Genomic DNA, 26,718 nt, shown 5'->3' with positions numbered 1-26,718 from the left:
GCACCAGGGTCCGATTTCTTAGGTTGAAAAGTAGACAGCGAAGATGAAATGTGGGAGACAGAATATTTAGAGGATACGGGAGGACATAAAGCCATTGGAGGGGAGGGCACCTGCCCGTGGGAGGAGAGAACGTCGCAAGGGGTGCAGTCTATGGGTGTCACTGGCTGTTTCCAGCTAGTTAAGCATCGTGGGTCCTCAGAGAGCTCATAGTGCAGTATGAGGCGCTTACGAAGGGACAAGACAGACCCCGAAAAACAGGCAGCATGAGACCAAGGGAATGCCAGGGGAGGCTTTCTCTAAACTGTGTTCCAAGGAGTGCTCTTTGCAATGTTAATAGGTGTTCTGCTTAAAAGGGGCTCTCTTGGCTGGGTGCGGTGGTTCATGCCTGTAATCCCAGCACTTTGGGAAGCCGAGGCGGGTGAATCACGTGAGCTCGGGAGTTCGAGACCAGACTCACCAACATGGAGAAACCCCATCTCTACTAAAAATACAAAATCAGCCGGGCGTGGTGGCACATGCCTGTAATCCCAGCTACTCGGGAGGCTGAGGCAGGAGAATCGCTTGAACCCGGGAAGTAGAGGTTGCAGCGAGCCGAGATCGTGCCATTGCACTCCAGCCTGGGCAACAAGAGCGAAACTCTGTCTCAAAAAAAAAAAAAAAAAATACTGTCTCGTAGAAAGGTGGTTGCCAAGGGCTGAGAGATGGAGAAATGGGGAGAGGTTGGTCAAAGGGTGCAAACTTTCAGTGATGAGATGAGCACGTTCTGGGGCTCTTACGTATGGCATGGGTGGTAAAGGATGTGTTAATCAACTGGATTGTGATAATCGCACACAATTTACATGGGTATCAAACCATTCCATGTATTCCTTAGATATATGTAATCTTTATTTGTCAGTTATTAATATTTAAAAACAAACATTTTGGGTGACTACTTGACTGTTGTGTGTGGATTGTTGAGATGGTATTGTAATCAATGATCTGTTTTATCTCTGATGGTGATGATGATGGTGATAATGATTATTTTATTGCTGCAGTTTACTTTGTGTACTTTGTGAGCATTTTTTTTTTTTTTTGCCCTCTACAGGATGGCAGTCAGATGGCTCTTAGTAGCTATAGCAAGTTGCTTTTAGACACTTATCTTTCAATCCACCAACTGTGACATTTAGAGTTTTACATATGGTTGAGATCCACTCTTACGTGTCATATATTTGTACTTTAGGATGTTTGCAATAAATGTGTGTCTACCTCCCCCAAATAAAATAAAATAAAATAATATAATAAAATAAAATAAGCTATCTAGGTATCATAAAGACTAAAATAGCATGTCCTACTAGGTTAAAAAAAAACTCTCTTGTCAAATAGGCTAGGAAAATGCTGAGTTTTTACTGTGGAACTTTTCAACGCCCTTGATGTACAAATGGAAACAACTCTCTCAGAAAAGTGTGTGCAGGGATTTTGAAATTTACCTGCCAAAAGAGTCTTTAAAGGTTGCACAGTGAGGCTGAGGAAGACCTGTTAACATGCCACAGGGTACCTGTGCTTCTCACAGTGCTGCTTGGGAAACAGTACATCATGATTCTAAGGAGGCAGACACCACATTGTGCTGGAGGCTCGGGGCCTCCCTCCTTTTGTATCCTTGCCTGCACAGGCAATGGTGTGGATGCTGTTCACTTTCTAGGTTTTGACTCCATAGTGCCTGACCCAGTGCTGGACAAGGCAGGGAGAAGGTGTGTAGACTCAGAACCCCCAGTGCAGCTGGAGGCTGATGCGTGCTCTAAGAAAGCCCCAGGCTGCTTCCCCAGTGCCTGCAGCATGAGCCAGCTTCTGCCAGTATTCCCCAGAAGTGGATGTGTGTGACTGTGCAGCTGTGTGCTTTCTTTGCACATGTGCCCATTTCTGCATGCAAAAGAGCTCATGGGACATAGGGAGCAGAGAGGGAGCAGGCAGACGGCGCTGCTTAGCCTGACTTCTCCCGGTGACCCATGGAAACGTTCCTAATGTTTTCTAAGAGTGTAGGTTCTGGTCTAAACACTTTCATTTTTGGAATGGAGGAAGGTGCTGCATTTTCAGTTAAGGCTGCTGAGGTGACTGAGCCTCATTCAGGGATATGCAGGGACTACAGACTTAGGCATCTCTGGGACCAAACTGTCTCAGGAAGTCAGAAGGATATTAAAGGATATTGGGAGTGCCTTTCCCTGTTAGTGTCAGCTAGCTAGTTGTTTTCTCTTCTTTACTAATAATAATATCTAAGACAGCTGATTGAAACTCCAGGCCTGGAGTCCTACCTGGAAACTCAGTCTGCTTGGCTAGGACCCCCACAAATGATAACTTTTGCTCTCTTCATTGGTCCCTCCCCATGGGACACAGAGATGCTCCTCAGTGGGTCCTAAGACCACCCTCCACACTGAGGGGGATTGCAGTGGTGTCATTTCCTAGAACCATTTCCTAGAACTACAGAATGCTGTGGCCGCCTCTCTCCTGCCCACTGCCCCTCCTTGGGCATTGATGCTGGATTGAACTATGTCCAGGCATCACTGGGTGCTGAGTACCTCCCTCACTGCCCGTCCTGGCGTCACTGGGTGCTGGGTACCTCCCTCACTCCCCATCCGGGCGTCACTGGGTGCTGGGTACCTCCCTCACTCCCCATCCGGGCGTCACTGGGTGCTGGGTACCTCCCTCACTCCCCATCCGGGCGTCACTGGGTGCTGGGTACCTCCCTCACTCCCCATCCGGGCGTCACTGGGTGCTGGGTACCTCCCTCACTCCCCATCCGGGCGTCACTGGGTGCTGGGTACCTCCCTCACTCCCCATCCGGGCGTCACTGGGTGCTGGGTACCTCCCTCACTCCCCATCCGGGCGTCACTGGGTGCTGGGTACCTCCCTCACTCCCTATCCGGGCGTCACTGGGTGCTGGGTACCTCCCTCACTCCCTATCCGGGCGTCACTGGGTGCTGGGTACCTCCTTCACTCCCCATCCGGGTGTCACTGGGTGCTGGGTACCTCCCTCACTCTCCATCTGGGTGTCACTGGGTGCTGGGTACCTCCCTCACTCCCAACCCCGGTTCCTCTGTAGCTTGTGCACCTCCTTTCTTTCCTGGATTCTCCTTCCCCTCTGGTCATTGAGGTTCCAGATGCCTCAAAGAAGACACTGCAAATGGAAGGAAGTATATGGCTTTTGAGATGGATGGTGATGGCTGGCTGGGGCCTTGTCAGGTGTAGATTTTGACCATCAGACCTTCAAGGAGGTGGGGAGGCGTTGGGGTGAAGAGCTGGGGAGGAGCTCAGAGGCTAGAAGCCATGTCCCTTGGCTAAATGGCCAAGGACCTGTGCTCTCAGAGGTGCAAAGAAGCCCAAGGGGGCAGACTGGGAACTTTCTGATGGGCTTTGATAGAAAAAGAACCTGTAATGTGGGAGAGGATGCACATCACCAGAGACAGAGCCTGGAGAGGCACAGGCTGCAGGGGAGTGCCGGGAAGGCTAAGTTTCCCAGGCAGCGAGGCTGCTGAAAGAGGCACGGCTGGGTATAAAGGGGTTTTCCAAATCTACCGGTGGAGCAACGAGAAGAGTGAGGATGGGCCAGGCCTCTGACATCACAGAGGATGTGTTGCTAACAGGAGACGGGAGAAAGCCTGCTCTCTATCAGGGAGAACTATCTTCGTGTCCCAAAGGGATTAAGAGGTGACCAAATCACACCAGCGTGATTAAGAGGCGACAGAAGCTTAGACGGATGAAGAAAGTTAGAAAGCCCCAGGTGGCTTTGGGTGAGTCTGCGACATGAATCCTGATGCGTTGATTGCATTTTGTGTTGGTGGAAGAAGCTGATGAGTCCACAGAGCCACAGTCAGCGCACTTAGAAGAAAGACTGAGAATGAGGACTATTCAAAAGAACAGGCAGATGTGCCTGGGTCAGGGAGATGCCGGCAGGCGAGGTCCTCCCGGTCCCCCGACAGCCTCCTCTGGCTTCTTCCTGCCCACACATAGACATGCCTGTAGTTCTCCTGCTTCCAGGGTGTGGAACACTTTTGGTCCTTGAACCTTTCCGTGTACTTCTACCTAGAGTCCCTTCTCCAACCTCACCCTAGGGATGCATTACTTTTACAATTACCATTGTACATTGTAATGGTATAATTGGAAATTTATACAATTATACTTTTTTTTTTTTTTTTTTTGAGATGGAGTCTTCCTCTGTCACCCAGATTGGAGTGCAGTGGCGCGATCTGGGCTCACTGCAACCTCCGCCTCCTGGGTCCAAGCGATTCTCCTGCCCCAGCCTCCCAAGTAGCTGGGATTAAAGTGTGCACCACCACATCCAGCTAATTTTTTTGTGTTTTCAGTAGAGACAGGGTTTCGCCATGTTAGCCAGGCTGGTCTCAAACTCCTGACCTCAGGTGATCCCACTGCCTCAGCCTCCCAAAGTGCTAGGATTACACTGCGCCTGGCTCAATTATACTTTTAAATTAGAACATTGAAGACCCAGTGCTCAGACAAGACCCTAACCTTAGACATGACTTCCTGTGTGCAGAAAGAACCCACCAGTGTACACAGTTACTGCCTTTTATTTCATATTTTATATTAACTTTTTGGCCCCAAGGAAACTTAGTGTGCCTCTTTCAGAATTTAAAATAGTACTCGGATTTCATAAGATCCCGAAGGTAGATGTCCTTCAATCACCAACGTTTTTCTCATTCACATCTTCAATAGTCTTTCCTAAGAGAAAGGCCAACGCCATGCTTCTGTTGGAAAGTTGGCCCTGAATCCAGGCAGACTTTGGAGTAAAATCCAGCTACCTAGAACCATCAACGCCCTGCATGGACCCAGAGAGTCTTCCCAGCCCGGTGTCCTCTCCTTTCATATCCCCAGGCAGCCGAGGGTCTCCTCTCTCCCAAGGTGGGAAGCAAATCCTATATCCATGAACAACATGGACTCTCTCAGGGTAGGTGGACGCTGTGAATGCAGCCTACAGCTGCCCCCAGTTTTTGAGCAGTTACACAGTGTGGTTCATAACAGCCATACATGTAAGTCAGGGTTTACCAATGTCCACACTGGTGACATCGGGGCAGGCTGCATGTTTACAGTGGGGACTGTCCTGTGCACTGTAGGATGTTTAGAACATCCCTATCCTCTATCCACTGAGTGCCAGGAGCACCCCTTCCTTCAACTGTGATGACCCAAAATGTCTGTAGACATTGCCAGATGTCCCCTTGATGGGGTTCTTTCTGGGAGGCAAAATTGCACTACCTATTGAAAACCACTGGTATACATAGAACAACCAGGGTATTTTTTGTAAGGGAGAGGCGGGTGGGTGACATGTGGGTAAGACATGATGAATCCTGACAGTCTAAATTCTGCCTGTTGGAAATAGAGTTCATTTTTATGTATCCCAAAAACTGTATGAGAGGAAAGAAATGTGTTCTGGTGTGTATCAGGTAGATCTTAAAATAAAATACAGTTGTGAATCTCTTGGGGCCAAATTAATTAATGATTTAGCACTTTCAAAAAATAGGTGTATCTGTCCTAATGTATCCAAGCAGCCTCCAGCATTCAAATGCCACAAGCAGCCTTTTGTGGTATTTCTTCCATCCCATTTTGAAGAAGTCATCTGAGCATGAAGAATCTTTTGAGTCAAAATGTGAGTAATTGTGCTGACTTGTTCTAAACAGCTAACGAGAATCTCTCACTCGAGTGTAAATTTGGGGTGTGTAGGTTTGAGTAAGGCAGTTTATGTAAGATGGGTGTGTTGGTTTGTTAACCAAGGCATTAAGGAGAGGGGTGGTGTGTATCAGCGAATCAAGTGTTGTTGATAGGAGACAGGAAGAAATCGCCTTCTATTGTTCTGTTGTACAATGTGCCTGGGGTTTTACCTTGCTGGCACTTTCTAACTCTGGCTTCCTGACTCCAGAACTGTTTCAAAAACCATTTTCACACCACATTCCTACAATCCTACTGTGTTTTCCATTGGAAATGCCATTTCTGCAATTTTTCACGTCTGTTTAGTTATTTTAGAACCTTGGAATGGGAAGCACCTCAAGATTAAAACCAAAGTAAACTGATAAAAAATAACACACTTTTCTCCAACCATAACATGTACCTAATTTGTGCAGTGACAGGCTCAGGGAGGAAAGAAGTGTGGGGCCCGTGGAGGACCTGGGGAAGCCACTGTCTGTGCGAGCTCCCATTGCCCTGGTCTTTTCACTGGTGAAGCATAAGAAATACAGGTGCCCGATCTTGACTCCTATGGAAAGCTTTAAGTGCCTCAGAGGTTCAGACAATCTCTTAACTTGTATTGAGCTACAGAGTTTGCTGTGCACTGGGAACCAAATTATAGCACTTTGGGAATTCTCCCCCAAATCAACAGGAAATAGATCTTTAAAGGTCTCTCAGCTGGGGCTTGGGTACAACGTTATTGGAAGGAATACCACTATCAAGACCTTGGTGTTCAAGCCCTCCTCATCAGTGAATCCAAGTAAAAGTGACTATTGCGTGCTTTGTGTTCTCTGCTAAATCAAATGCTATGGATTTCGTTTCTTTTGGCGTGTTTTGGAACCCTGGAACAGCTCTGGCTTTGGTGTTAAGTGCTTCCCTGGACGTAGCCAATGTGGACACTGCTGGCTCTGCAACCTGACTGGATGTGATGCAACATAGGACTGCATTGCCAAATATCCCACCTGAGTGTGGCTTAGTGAATTTCTCATTGCCAGTCCTGGAGTATCACCCTTCCGTGGTGAAAGCCTGGCTCACTCAGCCCCCCACAAGAGTGAGGCAGTGCATAAGCAGGGAATTCTGCACCTAGATGCAATGGGTTTAAGTTTTCTTCCCCAGATTTGTGGCATCAGAGGAAGACAGCCACAGAATTTTGGGCAAGGCACTCTAGATTATGGGGATTTAGTTTCCTTAGCAGTAAAAGGAAGGAGTTAACTTAGACCTCTTTGTTTCTAGCACTCTATTACTTTGAGTTTATTAGAGCAAGTGAGTACCTCTATCTGTAAGAGGAGACAAATAACATGAACTTAGGACCAAGAGGCTGTCTTCCCAGTGTTTGTTGGGGATGTTTACTTTGGGATAAATACTCTGAATAACGTCTCCTCTTTAACTCATTGAGAACACGTTTGTCTGCAACAGAAGCTGGCAAACTATGATCTTCTGGTCAAATGCAGCCTGCCTCCTCTTTTTATAAATAAATTTCTACAGGAGTACGGCCACGCTCATTCATTTAGACATAGACTGTGACTGCAGTTGCACTAGGAGGGCACGGTTGAGGGGGTAGGGCAGAGACCACCTGACCTACGAAGGCAAAAGTATTTGTGATCTGGCCCTTTACAAAAAAGTCTGTTGACCCCTGGTCTGGAACATCATTCATCCCATAATACTCACCCAGGTTCTGCAACGTGCCATGCTCCCTACCAGCTGTTGGGCACAGAGATAAGCCAGACCCAGTGCCCGACTTGGAAAGATTCCCAGCCTGGTGAATGTTCAATGAAGAAATTAGAGGTTTCTTTATTTAAAACAATAATACAGACAGCAATATTATTCACAAGAAGAATTGCACACTGTTTTTTATAAACACCAGTAGTGACGATTCTTCCCGTTCTCTTTATTGTATCTGTAAGAGATGTGGCTGCCTGTTTGGTAACGTTTCCTGTGTGTCTTTTTTTTTTATGCTAGATTTCAGTGTTCCTTAGAGCAAGGCAATATCTTTTTCTCAGTGAAATGAAAAAAGTAAAAATGATTCTTCACATCAGGTCCTGCTGAAAACATCCCGTGTGCCCATCTTCTACAAAGAGAGGCCAAACCCTTTTGTGCGGGTGCCGAGGCCTCGGTGTCCTGGCTGCCGCTCCCCTCCTGGCTCCCTCGTCCACTCGCCTTCTCTCATGCTCTCAGCTTGGATCTTGCTCAGGTGCTTGCAGTTTCCTGCAGTTTTGGGTCTTCTCGCCTTTCTGCACACCACTTTTCCACCTGATGTCACCCCTGCCCTTTCTTGTGTACCCCTTGAGTCCCCACTCTTTCCCTCAAGGCTCTGTTCAAGTCTCACCTCCTCTGATCCCTTCCTAGGCAAAGATGTTTACATTGTCTTTTGTGCAGCAACCACAGTTTGTATATAACTCCACTACTATACTTATTACACTATATTGTACATATTTGTCTATATCAGTGTTTCTCAGTACAGGGGAGAGTAGCGATTTTGTTCTTCAGAAAACATTTGGCAACATCTGTAGACATTTTTGGTTGTCACAACTTGGGGAGAGGTGGGTGCCATGCTCCCATGGGTGCGTGTAAAGGATGCTGAAGACATCTTACCACGCACAGGACAGCCCCACACACAGGCCCATCTGGCCCCAGGTGCCAACAGAGCCGAGGCTGGGAAACCTTGGTCTACATACCTGCCTTTCCCATTAGGCTGAGCTCCTCATCCGCAGGGGTTGAGACTGGTTCGTCTTTGCGTGTTCAGTGCCTGGCACATAGTGGGCAGTCCATCTTATTGAAAGAGTCAATGTCTTCCATGTATTTTGCCACCTGAAATCCATAGCACAGAGCTAGAGTTATAGCAGGTGCCAATAAACACATGTTGATGAATTGTTAACTGATGAAATGAGAGAAAGGAGAAACACCCTTGCTTGTAATCTGGTGACAAATTGGAACCCACTGCTCTCCAATGAAGTTAGCCTCCTTCAGATCAATCACAGCTTCAGAGGAAAAGGTCCTCTTTCTGCTCAGAATTGTTTGGCATAGAAAACATTTTCGCCATTCCAACCTCCTCGTTCTCACGAAGGGAAAGAAAGGAAGAGAGGATGGGTGCTCAGGTAAGGAGAACTGGCTGGGGCAGAGGGGGTACGCCGTCCTGCCCTGAGAGCCCTGTGAGAGAGTGAGGAGTTTGGATAGGCGTCGGCGTTGAGTGCACTTGGGAAAAACATGTCTCTTGAAACTTCACTGAGAGGTGATGCAAAAAATTCTGCTCCGTGCCCTGCAATTGTTGCCTCTGGGGCTCTACTATCCTCAAGAAAGTTGGGGAATTCCAGGCTGGAAATATTCAGAAAACCATTAGCTAGCTGTCATAATGGGGAGGTGGAGGGCAAGCTACGCAGAGGTCACAGATCATCTGAGGCATTGCTTCAGCGTATAAGCTTGCTTCCCACACAGCTCTTTGAAGAGTGGTTCATTAACCGGGCAGGAGACCACTGGTTTTGAAGCCTCTTTTTCTCTTGCTCAACCTTGGAAAGAGCTGGGTTCCAATGGGACCATCCAACTCACCAGCAGGTAAAGGTGTGAGACAGGGAAAGGGTGCATTTGCTGAATATCTAAATCCACTCGATAATGGTGTCTGCAGGCTTTGATCCTCAGTGCCAGAATTGTGAGTTCAAATGAAATCTGAGGATGGAATTAACTCCAGGCATTAAGAAGGGCAGAAGTGCAGTTTCTTTGTTGAAGGAGGCCACCCACTCGTAAGTTTACCTTGCTAGCCTGTAGCGCTCCAGGCAATCTGTCCTTTTTGAGCAGGTGCTGTGGAATACTATCTCCTAGATAAACCCTTGATTGTGGGCTTTGAGTTCTGGCGACCCATGTTTAAAGGGATCACGCCAGCCCATCAATGGTTAACCGTGGAGAAATGAACCTTCCCAGAGGAGGTTATTTGTTCTAGATGTTGCCGTTCTGGTGACTTCAAGGAAATGGTGTGTGATCGTGTTTGTATGTGTGTGGCTTCTCCTTTCTTAAACACATAGATTACAGTGTGATTACATTGTGATTTGGAAATCGGTGATTCTAGATTGTGCTGTTGTGCTGACAGAGGGAGGACTGGATTACACAATGATGATATTGTAGGTGGTGCAACCCTCAGGCGCTCGGCCAGCCTGCGGCCCAGGTGCATGCTGTTTGGAAAGATCTGCGTGCTTGTCCTATTGTCATTTATTCACACCAGTGCACAGCTGTGATAATGAGGCACATCGCCCCATGCAAATCTATAGAGTAAGTTTCATGATAAGGCTAGCTCTTTTTAGGAAATCGGTGGCAGGTTTTGATAGAACCCCTTAGAGGCCTGTATGTTTCTAGGGCTTAAATTTTGCATCCTGGAAGTTTTAGCTATAAATACTGCATAGACTGGTGAGGTCTACAGTAAGCCAATTCTACCAGTGTTTAGGCCACGGGACAGTGATTTCCTTATGCAACTTTCTTTAGGTTGTTGCTGAAACAGGGATAATACTGGCCCCCACCTTGATGTTTGTTTCAAGGAAAACCTTGTCTTTCATGGGAGTGTGTTATTGCTTCTCCCAAGGGACACTTTCCGTGGTAAAGAGGAACAGCACCGTGGTTGTTAGGGCAGGTCTGAGATGCCCAACTAGGGTGCTGTTGCCCCCAGGGACATTTGGCAATATCTGGAGACCTTTTTATGCTACAATCACTAGGGAATGCTACTGACATTAGTGGGTTGAGGCCTGGGATGCTGCTAAGTGTCCTGCAATGCACAGGACAGCCTCCAACACAGAAATATCTGGCCCCCAATGTCAATAGCGCAGAGCTTGAGAAACCTTGGGGTATACAAGTTGGAAACATCCCTTCCCTCTAAAACCACTGGCTCCATTATTATTTAATTTTACTCTGCTTGTAACCTGGAAGGCCCATGGGGACCTTGCTGAGCATACAATGCCTTTTCTCCCAAACCCCAGGACCCTTGTTCCTGGAGTTGGAATTAGATGCTCACCTGCTCCTTCTAGCAGCTTCCCCACCATTTTCCCTGTTTGCCCTGAAAAATCCCATCTCCTTTGAATTGCACCCCTCAGACTATACCATTCTCCTGTAGTGAATGTTACCGTTCCCTACAGTTTCCTACCGAAGGCCTGGCTCCCCTTGCAGTCACCGTAGATTCCCATGGTCAGCTTCTTCACCTCTTCTCCTGGCATCATTCCTGGCAACTGCAAGACCTCTCCACACACGGACGATTCTGCACTTACAGGCGTTTCCACCCACCTCCTGCCAGTCCTTGCTTTGCACGGTGACTCCTTAGACTTGCCATCACCAGTGATTTCATCATTGTCCATTCCTGGCCCCCATGGCCCACCCCGGCAGCCTACTTACTGCCCCTGCTCCTCCTGACTCCTGCACACTGACACCCCCACACCCACACGGCGTAGAGTGCAAGGCGCCGCACTCTCAGCATGCCTTTGCACACACCCTCAAGGCTCCTGGAAAAACCCAGAGCTCAGCTTAGCTCCAAGCTTTCCCTGCCCTGGCCCCTCATCTGCCTGGGAGACAGCTCTGCTCCAAGTTACACCCAAGGCTTTCAACTGGGCACTTCTGGGACCTCCGCCTCATGCCGTTCCCCCCTTTCAATGACAGAGTCCCTCCTTATCCCCACTCCCAGCTGATGATCTGGTTTCTTATTTGGCTGAGAGAACAGAAGCCGTGGACACAGAGCCAGCTCATCCCTGCATCTGCTTCGAGTACTGAAGCCCCTCCTTGCCCCTCCTTGTTGGGTGAGCCGCCTCTGCTCCTCTGGCAGGAGGCTCCCTCCAGCTGTGTGCCAGGTCGTCCACTCTCCCCTCCAGAGCAAGGGCCACCCTCGCTGACGAGGTCTGCCCTCTTGCCGCAGCATTGGTTTCACCTCCTGTTTTGGATCTTTTCAAACAGCACACGAACATTCGGACTCTCTCCTACTTAGGAAAAGTCCCCCCCTTGGGCGACCTTCCATGCCAGTTACTGCTTTATTTCCGTCTTCCTTTTCACAGCAAGGCTTTTTAAAACAGTTAGGGGAACGTCACACACCGGGGCCTGTTGTGGGGTGGGTGGAGGGGGGAGGGATAGCATTAGGAGGTATACCTAAGGTTAAATGACGAGTTACTGGGTGCAGAACACCAACATGGCACATGTCTACACATGTAACTAACCTGCACGTTGTGCACATGTACCCTAAAACTTAAAGTATAATAATAATAATAAAAAATTAAACGGGTAATCTAAAAAAAAAAATCTAACCATTTTCTCAATTAAAATAAAAAACAGTTCTCTAGACAGTTTCTACTTCCTCCGTTCTTACCGTATTCACCAGTGAGTTTCACACGGTCGGATGAAATGTCATTCCCTAGTTCCCATCCTACACCTGGCTGGATGGTAATAGACATCGTTAGTACAGGTCACTCACTCTTTCTTGCTTGGCTTCCGGGGCATCCGAACTTGGTTTGTTGTTGTTGTCATTTGCTTTAATTTTAATTTAATTTTATTTTTGCTCAGGGGTAGCTTCCTGTCAGTCTCTTTTCCTGGTTCCCCTTCCTTTTCCTAATCTTTCGACGCTCGAGCTCCAGGACACAGGCCTAGGCCCTGGTCTCTGCTTTACCTTCCTCTTCTCCCTGGATACTTTACATCCTATGGCTTAAATGCCCTCCTCTGCTGATTCTCACGTTGCTCTTTCTCCCCCGAGTTCTAGGTTTGCATGCCAAACTTTCTGTGTGACCTCGCTACCTAGAGGCCGTCCTCACTAGAGTGTCAGGTCCACAGCACAGGGACTCCATCTCTGTTTGCTACAGCATCTCCCAGGTGTCTGGAACAGTGACAGGGACAGAGTGGGTGCTTATCAGATACACGTGGGGTCTAGAATTTCTGTCCTTTCCCCTCAGACATACAAAGAGAAAAACTGAGCCCAAGGGCTTCAATTTCAACCATCCTGAGAATCACGCTGTCATGGAGCCTTCTGGGGTCAGTCTTAAAAGTAGGCGGGGTGGAGACTTTGAGGAATTCCTCTTTTTCTCTAAAATATGTAGAAGGAGGGTGTCCTAAAGTCTGGTAAACTGGCTTAGCCATATGCTCAGCCCATAACCTTCTCAAATTGTGAGAACAACTTGCCCTTGAAACAAACACAACAATAAAATAAAATAACTGACAAATCATCTTTATTAAATAAGCAAAGAGTCTACATAGATACAGTCACTTGTCTGTCACTTGTAGAGTATTTGATGTGTGTCTGATGCTGCCCCTACTGAGTTGTGTGATCTTGGCCCAACAGCTTTAGCTCTCTGGTCCTCAGTATCATTTGGTGTCATTCATATTAGATTATCCTTTGTGTTCCCTTTAGCTTAAAGTCTCTGCATTCTTGGGCCAGGCACAGCGGCTCACTCCTGTGATCCCAGTGCTTTGAGACGCTGAGGTAGGAGGATCACTTGAGCCCAGGAGTTTGAGACCAGCCTGGGCAACACAGCAAGATCCCATTTCTACAAAATAATAATAACAAGAAGAAGAAGAAGAAGAAAATCTCTATATTCTTTAAGTAGGAATTGATGTAATTGTTCCTCTTAAAAAGAAAATACCATTAGGAAAGATAACATTTAAAGCTTCCTTGGACAATTGAGTCATAGTGAGATTTCTATGTTAGATTCTTCTTGAAAGCAGATTTGGCCAGGGAAGTGAGCAGGCATGGTCCACCTAGATGTTTCAAGTAGAAGAAGGAGATGGTGTTGAGGTGTAGAGAATGACGAAAGAGTGAAGAAGGGGAGAGAGCATGAAGTCAAGCTTCAGAAAGTGCAAGCCCTTGCCAGTGACCAGGTGTGGGTGTTTGGCTGTGTCTCAGTCGGGGATGCGTAGGTAAAAAAGGCAGTGAGGTGTGTTTGGAGATAAATGTGCCACTATGGGCGTATGTGCCATTTCTGTGGTGGCTTATGTACCTCATGAAACCCTCCTTGGTTCGGGCCCTAAGACATTGGCCAAAGTTTGCTTTAGGATTATGTATGAGGAAATACTTTATCAATTAAACCGCTAGTGAAAACAAAACACAAGTAGACTCTTTAAACCACTTAAAGGAGTGAAATGTTCTAGAGACTTCGGAATAATGCTTCACAACTGGTGTCCAGGGAAACCAAGGCCCACTGGAGTCTTAGGAAAAATTTCAGGGAAATGGGGTTCTGTGGTCAAATCGTCCCTTGATACGTCAATGCATCTTAGAAATCTCCAAGAGGGAGAATATCAAACAGAATGTTCCATCCGACCGCGAAAGCCTTGTTTCCCATTAGGCACCTATAAACATCTCTAGCTTTCCTTTTGACACAATTTGGAAAGGATGCTTTGGAAGTAACCATTTGCTTGAGTGCAATTTCTAAAGTGATCATAACATTCATCAAAACATCTTTACCGCCTAGGTCTATCAATAAAGCACTGACAGAATTGGTATAACTCAAGTTAACACATTTTCTTGAACCTAGGAAGCAGCTTTGTCATTAAACGTAGTTGATAATTCAGCATGTTCCACTTCTTTTCCTAAATGCTGCCCTTTCTTTAATAAAAATTGATCTGTATTAAGGGCCTAAAATCAAGTAATGAGGAGTGTCAGATTGGTAAGACATAACTTATTTTTGTGTTATTAAATGTCAGAGGTCTAAAGTTGAAATCCAGTGTGATTTGCATATTTTGTAGGATTGCTTTTTTTTTTTTTTTAAGAACCATTTTCTGCATGGCAGATTCTTGCCAAACACCCAGTGTCGTACAATTGCTGGACAGAGGCCAGTCTTAGAGCAATTGCTGGTAGTCACTGTAACAAAAGTTGTTTTATAATTTTTCTAAGATGTTAAGACTATTTGAAAATAGTGAAGAACACCATTCATCTTTTCATTACTTGGCTGAACAAAAAAAGAGAAGGTCATTCTACGTGATGAAAGTCATTGTCGTTTGATATTCAAGCCTCAAAAAGAAGAAACTTGGGGGAAAGGAAATAAAATGTCTGTGTTTTTAGGGGACTATTCAGTGGTGACGTCTTATGTCAGTGGCATTCAGAGCTCCACTGTGTTGGGCGTCTTGTGGGTGCCGGTTTCTAGGCAGCTGATTCGGCTGGCATTGCTTAGTGCAGATGCGTGTGCCACTGATAGCTCTCTTACAGCACCGTGGAAAACTGCCAGGCCTCTGTAATGGGACTGTATGCCATTTCCTTTGCCCTGACACTTTCCTGGTGAGGTCCTCCCTGAGCTGCCTGATATCTAGGCTCAGTGAAGAGCCCACGTAAGGCTGAGACGTCTCCTTTCTGGGCCTATGCTGACCCCTGCGGTTGGTGTCACTCCCCACACACCTTCTCCTTCAGATTCTATGTGATGACCAGCATGCTTGGGATTTCAACTGAATGGAGCCCTGCACGCCTGTATTCCCAGCTCGCTGTGCTCTGCAGGCATCTGGGAAGGGGCTTACTACCGGCTGTCTGTCATCTCCAGCCTGTCCTCCAGCGGAGCACTAGGGAACCAGAACGCTCTGCTCTCCACTCCCACTCACAGGGGGGAGTGTGGAAAATGAGCTTGCTCCTACTCTCATGAGAGAAATCAACAGTTTTGATAATTGCTACAAAAGTAGTAACAATCCTCCCAAAATGACTTTAGACAAACAAGAGCAACAAAACCAAGATTTAACATTATCATTATGATTAACGAAATTTATGCAACCCATAAGGCTAACTCTCAGGTGGAAAGAAAATTCTATTGAAAACTAACAACTCTGGTCTCAGTTCTTTTTAAAATCGGAGTTAAAGAGCATAATTGGATTGTTTGCAACTCACTTGATAAATGCTCGAGGAGGTAAATACCTGGTTCTTCATGATGTGTTTATTTCACAGTGCACTCCTGTATCAAACATCTCATGTACCCCATAAATATATATACCTACTGTGTACCCACAAACATGAAAATAAAAATAAAAAACAAAAGAAAAGTAAAATTGGAATTAAAGGAATACTTTAGGCAACTCACTTCACCAATACTGGCCTCAGATTGCTAATCTTGTACAAACTGGGGGTGGTGATTGGAAAAGGTGATCACTAGGGCCACGTCTTGCTCTCAGACATGAATTCTACCTTCCACAGATGCTTCTTTCCAAAGGAGGCTGTGCCTTTGAAAATTCAAATGTTCTTTATTTATGCCATGCCTACTCATGTTTCAGTCATATTTGATGCATGAATTTTAAGACAGGCTATATATTTACAAAGAAAATAAATTTGCCACTAAATCCTTTTTGAAACAAGGTGGGTATAAACAAACGGTTAGACACAAAGTTTTATTTCAGGTAGACATCATAAATTTGGATGATGGTCATCCTTGACCCAGATTTCTGGATTTTGTTAAAAATGTGGAAAATACTTCTGCAATTACAGTGGTTGGATTTTGGTTTCCTGAGAATGTAACAAGTTTTACAAAGCATGTTTATGTGATTGGACTCAGGGCCAGGCCTTGCCAAAGCAGCAGGCAAGTGACTCTGCTGGTCTTAGCACTGAGAGTCATTATAACTCTGAATAGCATCACTTTTCTTTTATACAGATTATCAGCCACCGGAAGCATTTCAGGTCAATGTTACCATTTTCCCCTTTGGCATAAAAATAAATTTACTAAGCTAATACATTCCTCTTACTTTTAAAATATAAGCACGGATTGGCAAGTTCATGCCAAACACCTTGCGTAAGTTTCTCCTGGAAGCTGTAAAATCTAATCTGACTACGAAAGTAGGAGCAACTTTTACAGATGTTGATACAAGGCACATGAAGAGAGTTTTCTTTGGTGACATCCAGTTAGCTTCCTAGCATTTTGTTTTTTCAACTGGAAATAGATCCAAAAGACTCTGATCGTTTCAGGCAAGTTAGAAAATAAATTTCAGTATTTGATCCTTCTTGGCAAAGGCACACTGGTAAAGTAAAATTTTCCTTGTTACTTGAGAATTTCAAATGATTATAACCATTCTTTCCTTTTTCCTTCTATTCATAAGAGCAGTTGATTCTGTTGTCATTACTTTTTCTTTATCAACTATTCCTCCCATCTTTTTTTTTTCCAGAACATATTTAGATAGCTCTCATTGTAGGGAAAAAACGTTTTTGCTTAACCAGCCAATGCCTAGATGCTCCCCAAATCTGTTCTTCTTCATTGTTCTTCTCTAACAAGTGGTCTACCTAGAGTTTCTCCATTTTATTCTAGGATCTATTCCCAACTCTCTGCATCTGTGCAAGTATGAAGCCTGCTGGTCATTTTGCAAATCATGGTGACCTTAACCATGGTGATTTTTGTCTGGCTGTCCTTGTAGCACTTCTGATGACCACACCTTTTCTGTAAACTCTCTCCTCCCGGGCCCCTCATGCCATTCCTGGTCCTCCCCCATCTCTTTGCAGATTCCCCCTTCTCCTGGCTCTTCCCTGGGGTGTCCTCTGAAGCCCAGTGCCCTGTCAGTGTTATCACTCCAGTGTGACCACTTTCTTGCTCTTAGGGAACCTTCATCTCCAGGCTTGAGCCAAGACTTTAAAACCAAATGCTCATCTCCAGATCTATTCGGTGTCCAGCCCTGCATTCTGATGGCTCTCCAATTACCTTAGCCATTCTGATGGCTCTCCAATGGATGCATCACAGCCATTTCAAACTCAGCACATCCAAAGTGTCATAACACAACTGGACTCTTTTTTCCCCACACAGTTCGGTTCCTTTTCCAATGCCTTTATTTCCATGAATGGTGTCATTATTTTTCTAACTGAGTAGTTTTAGAACCTTGAAACAATATTCTGTATTTTTTCTCTCTCTTCTCGTATATTGGATGATGGCGATTCCTTGCTGTGTCTGTAAGACTTCACATCAGTCCTCAATATACTGATAAGTTTCTCCTAAACAGGACTGATAATGCTGATATCAAGTTGGAACGATTTGACCAGGAGCCCCAAGACAAGACCGCATCAAAACTAGAATAACTGTAATACTTTAAATCAGCCTTTGCCTCAAAAGTAACTTCCGGGGCCTATTCTTGTCCATCTGTCTTACCATCCATCCATCCATCCATCCATGCATCCATCCATCCGTCCATGCATCCACCTCCCTACCTTCATACCTACAGACTGACCCATCTATGTCTCAACATTGTGGACGTTTGGACTGGATACATCTGTGTTGGGAGGGCTGTGCTGTGCATGGTAAGATGCTTCACAGTATCTGTGACCTCTGCATACCATGAGCCAGCGGCACCCCCTCCTCAGTTGTGGCAACACGAAATGCCTCCAGACATTGCCGCATATCCCATGGGGGCTGAATCTGTCCCCTGCTTGAGAACCACTGCTCTATCCTATCTCCAGTGCCACTCTACAAATTCCGTAAAACTGTTGAAAATATGTATCATTTTATTCTAAAATATGCTAGTAATGTCTTTTCAAATTCAGTCTTCTGGAGTCAGTGTTATAATATTCAGCATGAATTTACCATCTCTATTTATTTACTTACTTTAAAAGGCCAAGTGGAGAAATTTTTGGACGACCCTTATCTGTAGCTTCTGGTTAGAGAATTTAACATAATAAGGTTTTAAATGGCATCAAATAAAGAGTTTTGCCCAATGGGAATTGGAAGGCATTTTATGTATAAATGTCTTGGGTAAATCACCCAGGTCTGCCACTGTGCTTGTTCTGAGAAGCACATTTCAAAGGTTCTCTAAGATTTAAATTTTTCAGTTCTAAATGAGAAGAATAATTGTGTCTATCTCATAGGATTGTGGTAAGCACTAAATGAATACTTCTAAAGCCCTAAAGCCCTGGACAGAGGCCTGGCATATTGTGACGACATGATGATGTCCACTCTCAGCTGGAAATAGAAATGGCAGGCTTGCTGTGGTTGAAGTGGGGTGGGGGGTCTGGACCCACCCACGAAGACCTCCCCTTCACATGAGGCCCAGCTGCACTTTGGCATGGACCCAGCTACCAGCTATGCTTGTCATCCTGTGGCTGCCCTCAGCTACTCCTGTGCAGAAGTCAGTGAGTGTGCACCTATATCATGGCTACGAGACACTCAGTGTGAAACTGCACATGCTCACGGCATCTGAAGCAGTGGATTTGCTTGGGTGGCAGCACCCATGTTTGTACAACCCCGTGTTTCTTAGATGAAAATGGAGCAATCCTCCTGCACGTGTGTGCTCCCGTCTAAGGGTATAGGATTCAGCACTGAGAGTCATACTTTCCACTGGAATTGCTTTGCTGGACTCTGGTGACCTTTGATTAATGTCCACTTGACCCTTGAAGGACACAAGTTTGAGCCGCACCACTCACTTACATGTGGGTTTTCTTCCACCTCTGCCACCCCTCCTCCTCCTCCTCTTATGATTTTCTAAATGACATTGTCTTAGTATACAACACATGTAACATACAAAATACATATTAGTCAACTGTTTATGTTATCAGTAAGGCTTCTGGTCAACAGTGGGCTATGAATAGTTGTGTTTTTGGGGAATCAAAAGTTATACGTGGATTTTCAACAGCCCGGGGGGTGGAGTTGGTACCCTTAAGGTCAAATATATTAGTCAATTAACATGCATTGATTAGGCCTACTTTACAGTCAAAACTAGACTGGCCATTACCAGGACTGCTCTTCTGTTTTAGACACAATCCCGCCCTCTGGGAGATTAAAATGTAAGTGGAAAGAGACATGTGTCATGTTCAGAAATGGTTGAATTCAGAGTGTGTCTGTCACAAAAAAACATGCATGTTGGAGTCATTGACGAGCTGAGTTTGAGTTTCCAGTTCTTTATTTGTACACTCTTGTGTCTCTGAGTGTTTGCAGGGATTGAATAAAGCTGTGCTACAAACTGTACAGCACAAGGGATACTCGAATGTCGTAAATCATTTCAATGAAAATCAGTCTTTCTCTGTTAATTCATTAGGCAAAAATGGTCGGGTATGTTTTCATCAAATGTATTGGGAGTGTTTGGAATTTCTGACTTAAAATACGGGTGAAGTCGACACTCTGTGACTCGAGGTCACGTCACCCTGGAGTTGGCAGATATGACTTTATATTCCAGTTCTGGTGGGCAGACCTTCACCTTGGTTCCACAGAGTCCCAGTTCTAATGACAGGACTGCGACTTGGGCCCTGTGACTGAATCCACCTTTAGAAACTTCCAAGGACCCAGCCGGTTTTAGGATTGAGGCTTTACTCTTACTAATCTCCCTTTCAGATGTGAGATTCCGGGCCCTGAAGCCCAGCCCCACAGCCTGCCGATGGGACAGGTGTACACCTCCACTTGAGGCAGGATGTACCTCTCCCTGGACACCTCTCCCCAAACCACTAACATGGGTGTGCTCCAAGTCCTGGCCCTTGGAGGACTTCCCCACCCTGCTTTGCAAGAGTATGACAATACCCTTGTTTAGAACATTCTATCAGAGGACATTATGTGGTCCATAAAAATGGTTTAGCCCGTTATGCTAGTTTCTCTTGAAGGCAGATGGTAAAGTCAGTCCCTGAAGTGTGAGAAGCCGATGGGGATGTTTTGCATGCGGAGAGAGTGTGGTCTCAGGCTGAGCATTCCAGATGGCTGCAAAGGCATAAATCAAGAGCAGTTACTGATCAGAAAATAACAAGGAGGTTGTCATTTAAAATTTACAAACATTTACTGGATCAGAAACCCTGTGGGCTTTGGAGATACAGAATGGAGTCCGGTTCAGCTCCCACTGGGACAGAGAATTCAACATAGCCGCAAAGAGAAGCAGGCTGGACAGACAGGCCCAGTCTTCAGCAACCAGGGGTCCATAGGGCCCAGGTTCAAAGGCAAGCAAATGTTTAAATGAGTGGAACAGTTAATTAGTGACAAGGCTATGAGACTCAGGCTTAGGAAGTTTTTAAGAAAATTCTCACACAACTGGTACAGTAAAACAAAAAACTAAGTTGCTATAAATACCATTTTTCGTGTTAAGAAATGATATTTTCTTTAGAAACACCATGGATGAGTGTGTTGTTATATATATGTATTTTTTTCTTGTCTGTTAATCATAGCAGAAAACATCCCATCCAATAAGCCAAAGTTAGTTTAAACAGGACTTTCATTCTCCTGGCAGTAATTAATTGGAATGCAAACGTATTATCTAGATAGCCAGTTTACATTTTTAAAAAATTACAAAAATATCTTTTTAAAAAATCATGCAATAATAAATAGCAACAATAAAATCGCTGACACTGGTTGATTCTCATGTGCCAGGCATTATTTACACTATCTCATTTAAACCTCTCAATTACCCTCCTAGGCCAACTCCGTTGTTATCTCCATTTTAAAGATGAGGTCGAGGTTCAGATCAGTTAAGTCACTGGTCCAAGGTCACACAGCCAGTGGCATCGAGCAATTGCCTCCTGACCAGGTTCTTCACTCCTCTACTACACACAATAGCAGGAAGAACAGCTTCAATTCTCCAGGCTGTTTCTTAGACGCTCTAAGTAGGAAGTGTTTCTGGCTGCACTTCCATTTCAAGGGAAAGATATGAATGGCATTTGAGACATTTGTTTTAAATTACTGAGCTTGTTCAGCTCAGATCAACTGGCACTCAGGTTGCCCAGGTGAGGCAGCTTTTTATAGAGAGGTGCTGAAAAAAAAACGCCACTTCATTGTCAGCTGTCACAGTGACATACATGTCAGGATGTCACCTGGCATAAGAGCGGTTGTTTACAGACTGAGCTTACTGTATACCCAAATAGTGTGTTGGTGTATTTATGTCTTGCTCTTGGACAGGGCCAGGGCCAGAGTGAGGCAGGCAAGGTACAGAGGGGAAGTTGCTCCCCCTTTGTGCTGCCCTGAGAATTCGTCGTCCTCGGACTTTGCTGTTGGCCTCATTCTTCTCACTCTAACCCACTGGGCCACTTCAGAAGAGCTAGGCATTCACAAAGAGGCAGGAGAGCAGGAAAGCAAGGTGCATTCTTCTGACTCAAGATCCATGCGTGTTTCTGTGGATTACTTTGACTTCCCTGTGTGTCTCTTGGGTTTGGGAGGGAAGAGGGAGCAGCTGCTCAACTGGTTAGAATCTCACTCCACGTTGCAGGCGGATGCAAGCAGGACCTGGGTAGGCTGCTACCGCTGCTGCTGGTGTAGATCCTAGAAGCCTGAAGCACTGGAAGCCTTCCTTGGCCTCTCCAGTTTTCGCTCCAGCCTTCCCCACTGCGCTCTGTGCCAGTGTGAGTTTGGCCAAGTAGGAGCTGGGGCGGGTGATGGTGTTGAACAAGGAGGTCAGGCTGGGGTTAAACGGACCCTGCTGTCTCCCAGAGGGGCCTGAGTGGGCGGCTTCCCTCAGAGCCCGGTCTCAGCTCTGGTTGGGGAAGGTCCCTCCTGGAGCCCTCCATCCCCAGGCACGGGAACGGCTGCCTGCCCTTGCCCTTTGGCCCAGGAGTGGTAGAAGAGCTCTGTTCTGTGCCCACACGTCAGCACCGTTCCATGCCCCATAACCCTTATAGGCTCCTTTCGGGATCAGTCCCTTGTCAAAAGGCCACCTTGCACCCTCTTCTTTTTAAAATTGAGACAAGGTCTTGTTCTGTTGCCCAGGTTGGAGTATAGTGGTGCCCTCACAGCTCACTGCAGCCTCAACTTCCTGGGCTCAAGTCATCCTCCCACCTCAGCCTCCCAAGTAGCTGGGAATACAGGTGCAAGCCATCATGCCAAGCTATTTTTTTTTTCTTTTTGTAGAGACAGGGTCTCACCATGTTCCCAGGCTGGTCTTGAACTGCTGGCTCAGGCCGTCCTGTGCCTCTGCCTCCCAAAGTTTTGGGATTTCAGTTGTGAGCCACCATGCCTGGCCCCTGCACTCTCTTTTATGCTCTTTCACTTGCAATGACCTGAGGGATACAGCTGGGGACAGTCACACCATGAGCTGTGCAGCAGCCTGCCCGATGAGCTCTTCAAGAAACCGAGTCTAAGAGTAAGATGGCCTCAGGCCAGGCCTGCAGGATGAGCTCCTCAGACTGTAGCTGTAAATTCTATTGAACCTCCAGGCTTGCAAATGTCCTTGGGTGGTTGACAAAGCTGGCTGTCTACAGCCTTCTTAGTTGTTCCAGTTCTGGCTTATTGGACAACATGGAAAGCAAACCTTGGTGGTGAATGTATCTGTTTCCAGAGTGGAATTCATGCCAGTTGCAGCATGGAGCTGAGAAGACAAGAAACTTCTCTAGGTCTTGTGGGCAGGAGTGGTTCCCGGTTTTCTGGGGTCCTGATGATTTCCCAGGTCCCTTTAAGAACAAGAATATAAAATTCTCTTTTGTTTGTTTTCATGTTGATCCAAATTAAAAATAGCTTTTTTTTTCATTTGATGAGAGTGTTTTATTGTTGCCGTGTTTTATCATATTTGAAGAGAAACAAAAAGTTAATTTTATGGCAATCCCAGGCTTTGATAAACAACGATTTCTGTTCTCACAGCATGTGTAGCAGTAGATAATAAGCCTGCCACCATTCAATTGAATAAACGCATCAGTTGACAGTAAGATCAATAAGAGATATTAAACCCTTTTCCCAAATACACACACACACACCACACACACACACACACACACACTCATATTCCACAAAGGCATGTAAACTAAAATAATAAAAATAACTTTTTGATTACATAAATGATAAATGATTATTGTAGAAAGACCTTTTAAACAGTATAGAAAATTGTAAAGAAATTACAGTGATCTGGAACTGTGCTAGCCCTGTCTGTTGATGCTGTGTTGAGGCCCATGCTTCTTGCATCTCTTTGTGTGCATGAGTATATTCACCCTCACCTTTCACCTCGCGCTTCTCCACCTCCATCCCCCAGGCTCTTTATATAATTATCTTCATGGTCATAGAACTATATGGGGTTATTTGGGTAGCTACCCACACACATACATGATTGTATTTTTGTCATTGTTTATTCTAAAAAAATAGAATCCTTATTCCATGCACTTTTGCTAGGACTTGCATATCTCATTATAGATACTCCTCGAGCCTTTTGGCATAGATCTAGCAGATTCTTTTTCTGTTAGATCTATGCCAAATGAAGCATAGATGATGCGTGTTAAACATACAGAAAAGAAGATATTTTACAGAAAACACCCTTATGCCCACTACCTCGATTCTACCATTAACCTATTACTTATACTTATTTTCCATCTATCCATCTCTGTAACCATCCAATCCATCTTATTTTGGGGGAATGTATTTCAAGGAAAGTTGCAGACTTCTCAGCATACTTCCCCCTAAACACTTTGCACACATGCCATTAGCTAGTGTTCAATATTTTTTTCCTTCAAGGTAAATTTTATTTACATTCTAAAGCACTAATATTGAGCAAATTATTTGATGAGTTTGGATGATGGCATACATTTGTGTAACCGAAATCCCTATTGAGATACAGAGCAACACTATAACCCCAAAAGGTACCCTTGTGCCCCCCCACCCAATGAATTCCCAATTCCCCCACCCAGGGACAAACTGTATTCTGATGTTTCCTACCATAGATTAGTTTTGCTGCGTCTAAAACTTCATATATATCATATATGAAGTCATGATATATATGAAGTCCTTACAATATCAGGGTTTCTTCCCAGCTTTTTCTCCCCTTGAGCAGTATTCCATTTTATGAATATACCACACTTAGTTTGTTCATTCTCTCATTGATAGACACCTGGGCTGTTTTCAGATTGGTGCTATTATAGAGAAAGCTGCTATACAACTCACTCTTTTTAGTGACTATATAATATTTCAATGTATGCATTTATAAAATTTATTCAAGTATCTATTTTGATATTTATTTAGTCCTCTCTTTCTTTCAAAACTTTTTGGCTACTATGCGATTGCTATGATGTGAAAATCTTTGACCCATGATGCTTTTATTTTCATAGACTAGATTTTTGGCAGTGGGCTTGCTAGGTTGAACAGCATGTATTTCTCTAGGCTTGTTTGAATAGATGTTGTCATGCTTTTGCAGCAAGGCAGCCGCTGCTGACATTTCCAGCAGAAGTCTGTGAGTGCTCCTAACCAGCTTCCCTGCTGGTGCAGTGTCACCAAGCTCAAATGTTTTTCCTTGTTGAGAGTTACTCATTTTCATTTTCCTAAGTACCAATGGAGCTGAGCATTTTTTTATATGTCTGCTGACCATTTGGGTATGTTCTGCAAATCACTTCATTTCTTTTGCCCATTTTACTTTTAGGTTGTATGTCTTTAACAATCTGTGAAAGCTCTGTGTATATTATGGACAATTACCTTTATCTACAGATAATTCCCTTTAAAATGTGCAGTACAGATATTTGTACCCAGTGTATCATTTTTCTTTTGATTTTATTAGCACTATATTTTTATCTTAGATATTTAATTTTTTTCTGTAGGCAATCAAGTATATATATAATTATACTCTCTATATAAATACATCCTCTATAAATAAATATATGTGTATTTCTGTATACCTTCTGAGCTCCTACCACCTTTTTTTCTTTTCTTCTGTTTTGCTTGCTTGTTTGTTAAAAGATCTACCTATTCTCTAGGTCATATGTATATTCTCCTAAAATTTACTCTAAATTACTGTTATTGTTAATTACTTTTTTTTTAATACTTAAACCTTTACTTCCTTTAGTGTTAGTTTTCCATGTAGTGTGGGTGGTGCTTCAATTCTCTTTTGTTCCAGATGGAGAGCCATTTGTGCCAACATCATTCATTTGATAAACTCTACCCACCAAACTAAAATACCAACTGTACCATTTATTACACTCTCATGTAAATCTAGATCTGTTTCTGGATTCTCTGTTTTGTCTCATTGGCCTGTTTGCCTTTCTCTAGATCTGTTTCTGGATTTTCTGTTTTGTCTCATTGGCCTGTTTGCCTTTCTCTAGATCTGTTTCTGGATTTTCTGTTTTGTCTCATTGGCCTGTTTGCCTTTCTCTATGTCAATATCATTTATAGTGACTTTCTTGTATGTCTTAGTAGCTGGCAAGGCAACCCCTTCACCCCCCAAGTCCTAAAACCTTTTATCTTTGTTATCTTTGGGCACTTACTTTTCCATATGAACTTTAAGATAACTGTATTCAACTCACATTTCCCCTGAATCCACTAGGATTAAATTGAAATTATATATTAATTTTTAGAAATATTGACATTTTATAATATTAAGCCTTCTTCCTTCAATAAGATTTTACAGTTTTCTACACATACCCTGAACAACATTTCCTATCAGATTTTGTCTTCTTTTATAGACTTATTCCCTGTTATGAATTAGCATTTCCCTAATATCAATTTTTAGATCTTTAATATCAGTATAGAAAAAATGTTAATGATTTTCATATGTTTATTGTGTACATAGATCCTTACCAAATTCTTCAATGAATTCTAATGGCATTCCCCACCCCCCCCTTTAAGTGCTGAATTTTATGTGTATAAAATCGTATTACTAGCGAAAAAAAAGGTATCTATACTCTTCCAATGCTTAAATGTACTGTTTTCTTTCCTTATGTCATTTTCCAGACTGCTAAAACTATGCTGAATAGCACTGGTGATGGGGGAACCCCTGCCTGTTCCTGATTTTAGTGGAAATGACTTTAGCTTTTAGCATTTTTCCACTTACAATCATGGTGGTAGTTGGATTTGGGTAAGGATCCTCTATTATATATAAAATATTCCGTTTCTATTTCCATTTAACTGAGGCTTTGGTAGAAGCAGCTGTTTCAGTTTTATAAAAGTTCTTCTGGTCTCAGTTGGTATGTTTATATGATTCTTCTTCTTGTGGATATAATAAATTATGTTGATATGTTTTCTCATAGTGAGCACCGGGCCATTCTTGGTGTAAAGCTGACTTGATGAAACTCTGTTCTTTTTAGATGCTGAATTTCATGTTAATTTTTTATTCAGAATTTTAGCACAGTTTTTACTCATAAAAGATATTTATTTATAGGGTTATCTTAGGTACTACACTAATTTTTTTATCAAGTTTTGTTATTAAGAACACATTAATTTTAGAGAATGAGTTGGGGAAATTCTCATACACAAATACGTA

At 44.3% G+C, this 26,718-nt stretch overlaps 1 annotated feature.

The window, feature by feature from the left end:
* Positions 11,201-11,701: an enhancer, noted in NCBI's record as "H3K4me1 hESC enhancer chr6:1226362-1226862 (GRCh37/hg19 assembly coordinates)". NCBI's record gives its function as "activates a minimal SCP1, AML or CMV promoter by ChIP-STARR-seq in primed H9 embryonic stem cells {active_cell/tissue: H9 hESC(primed)}" and the evidence as "EXISTENCE:reporter gene assay evidence [ECO:0000049][PMID:30033119]".

Source organism: Homo sapiens, chromosome 6, assembly GCF_000001405.40.
Source record: "Homo sapiens chromosome 6, GRCh38.p14 Primary Assembly".
Lineage (NCBI taxonomy): Eukaryota > Metazoa > Chordata > Mammalia > Primates > Hominidae > Homo > Homo sapiens.
Note: the sequence above shows the minus strand (reverse complement) of the source record. Positions and strands in the feature narration are given on the sequence as shown.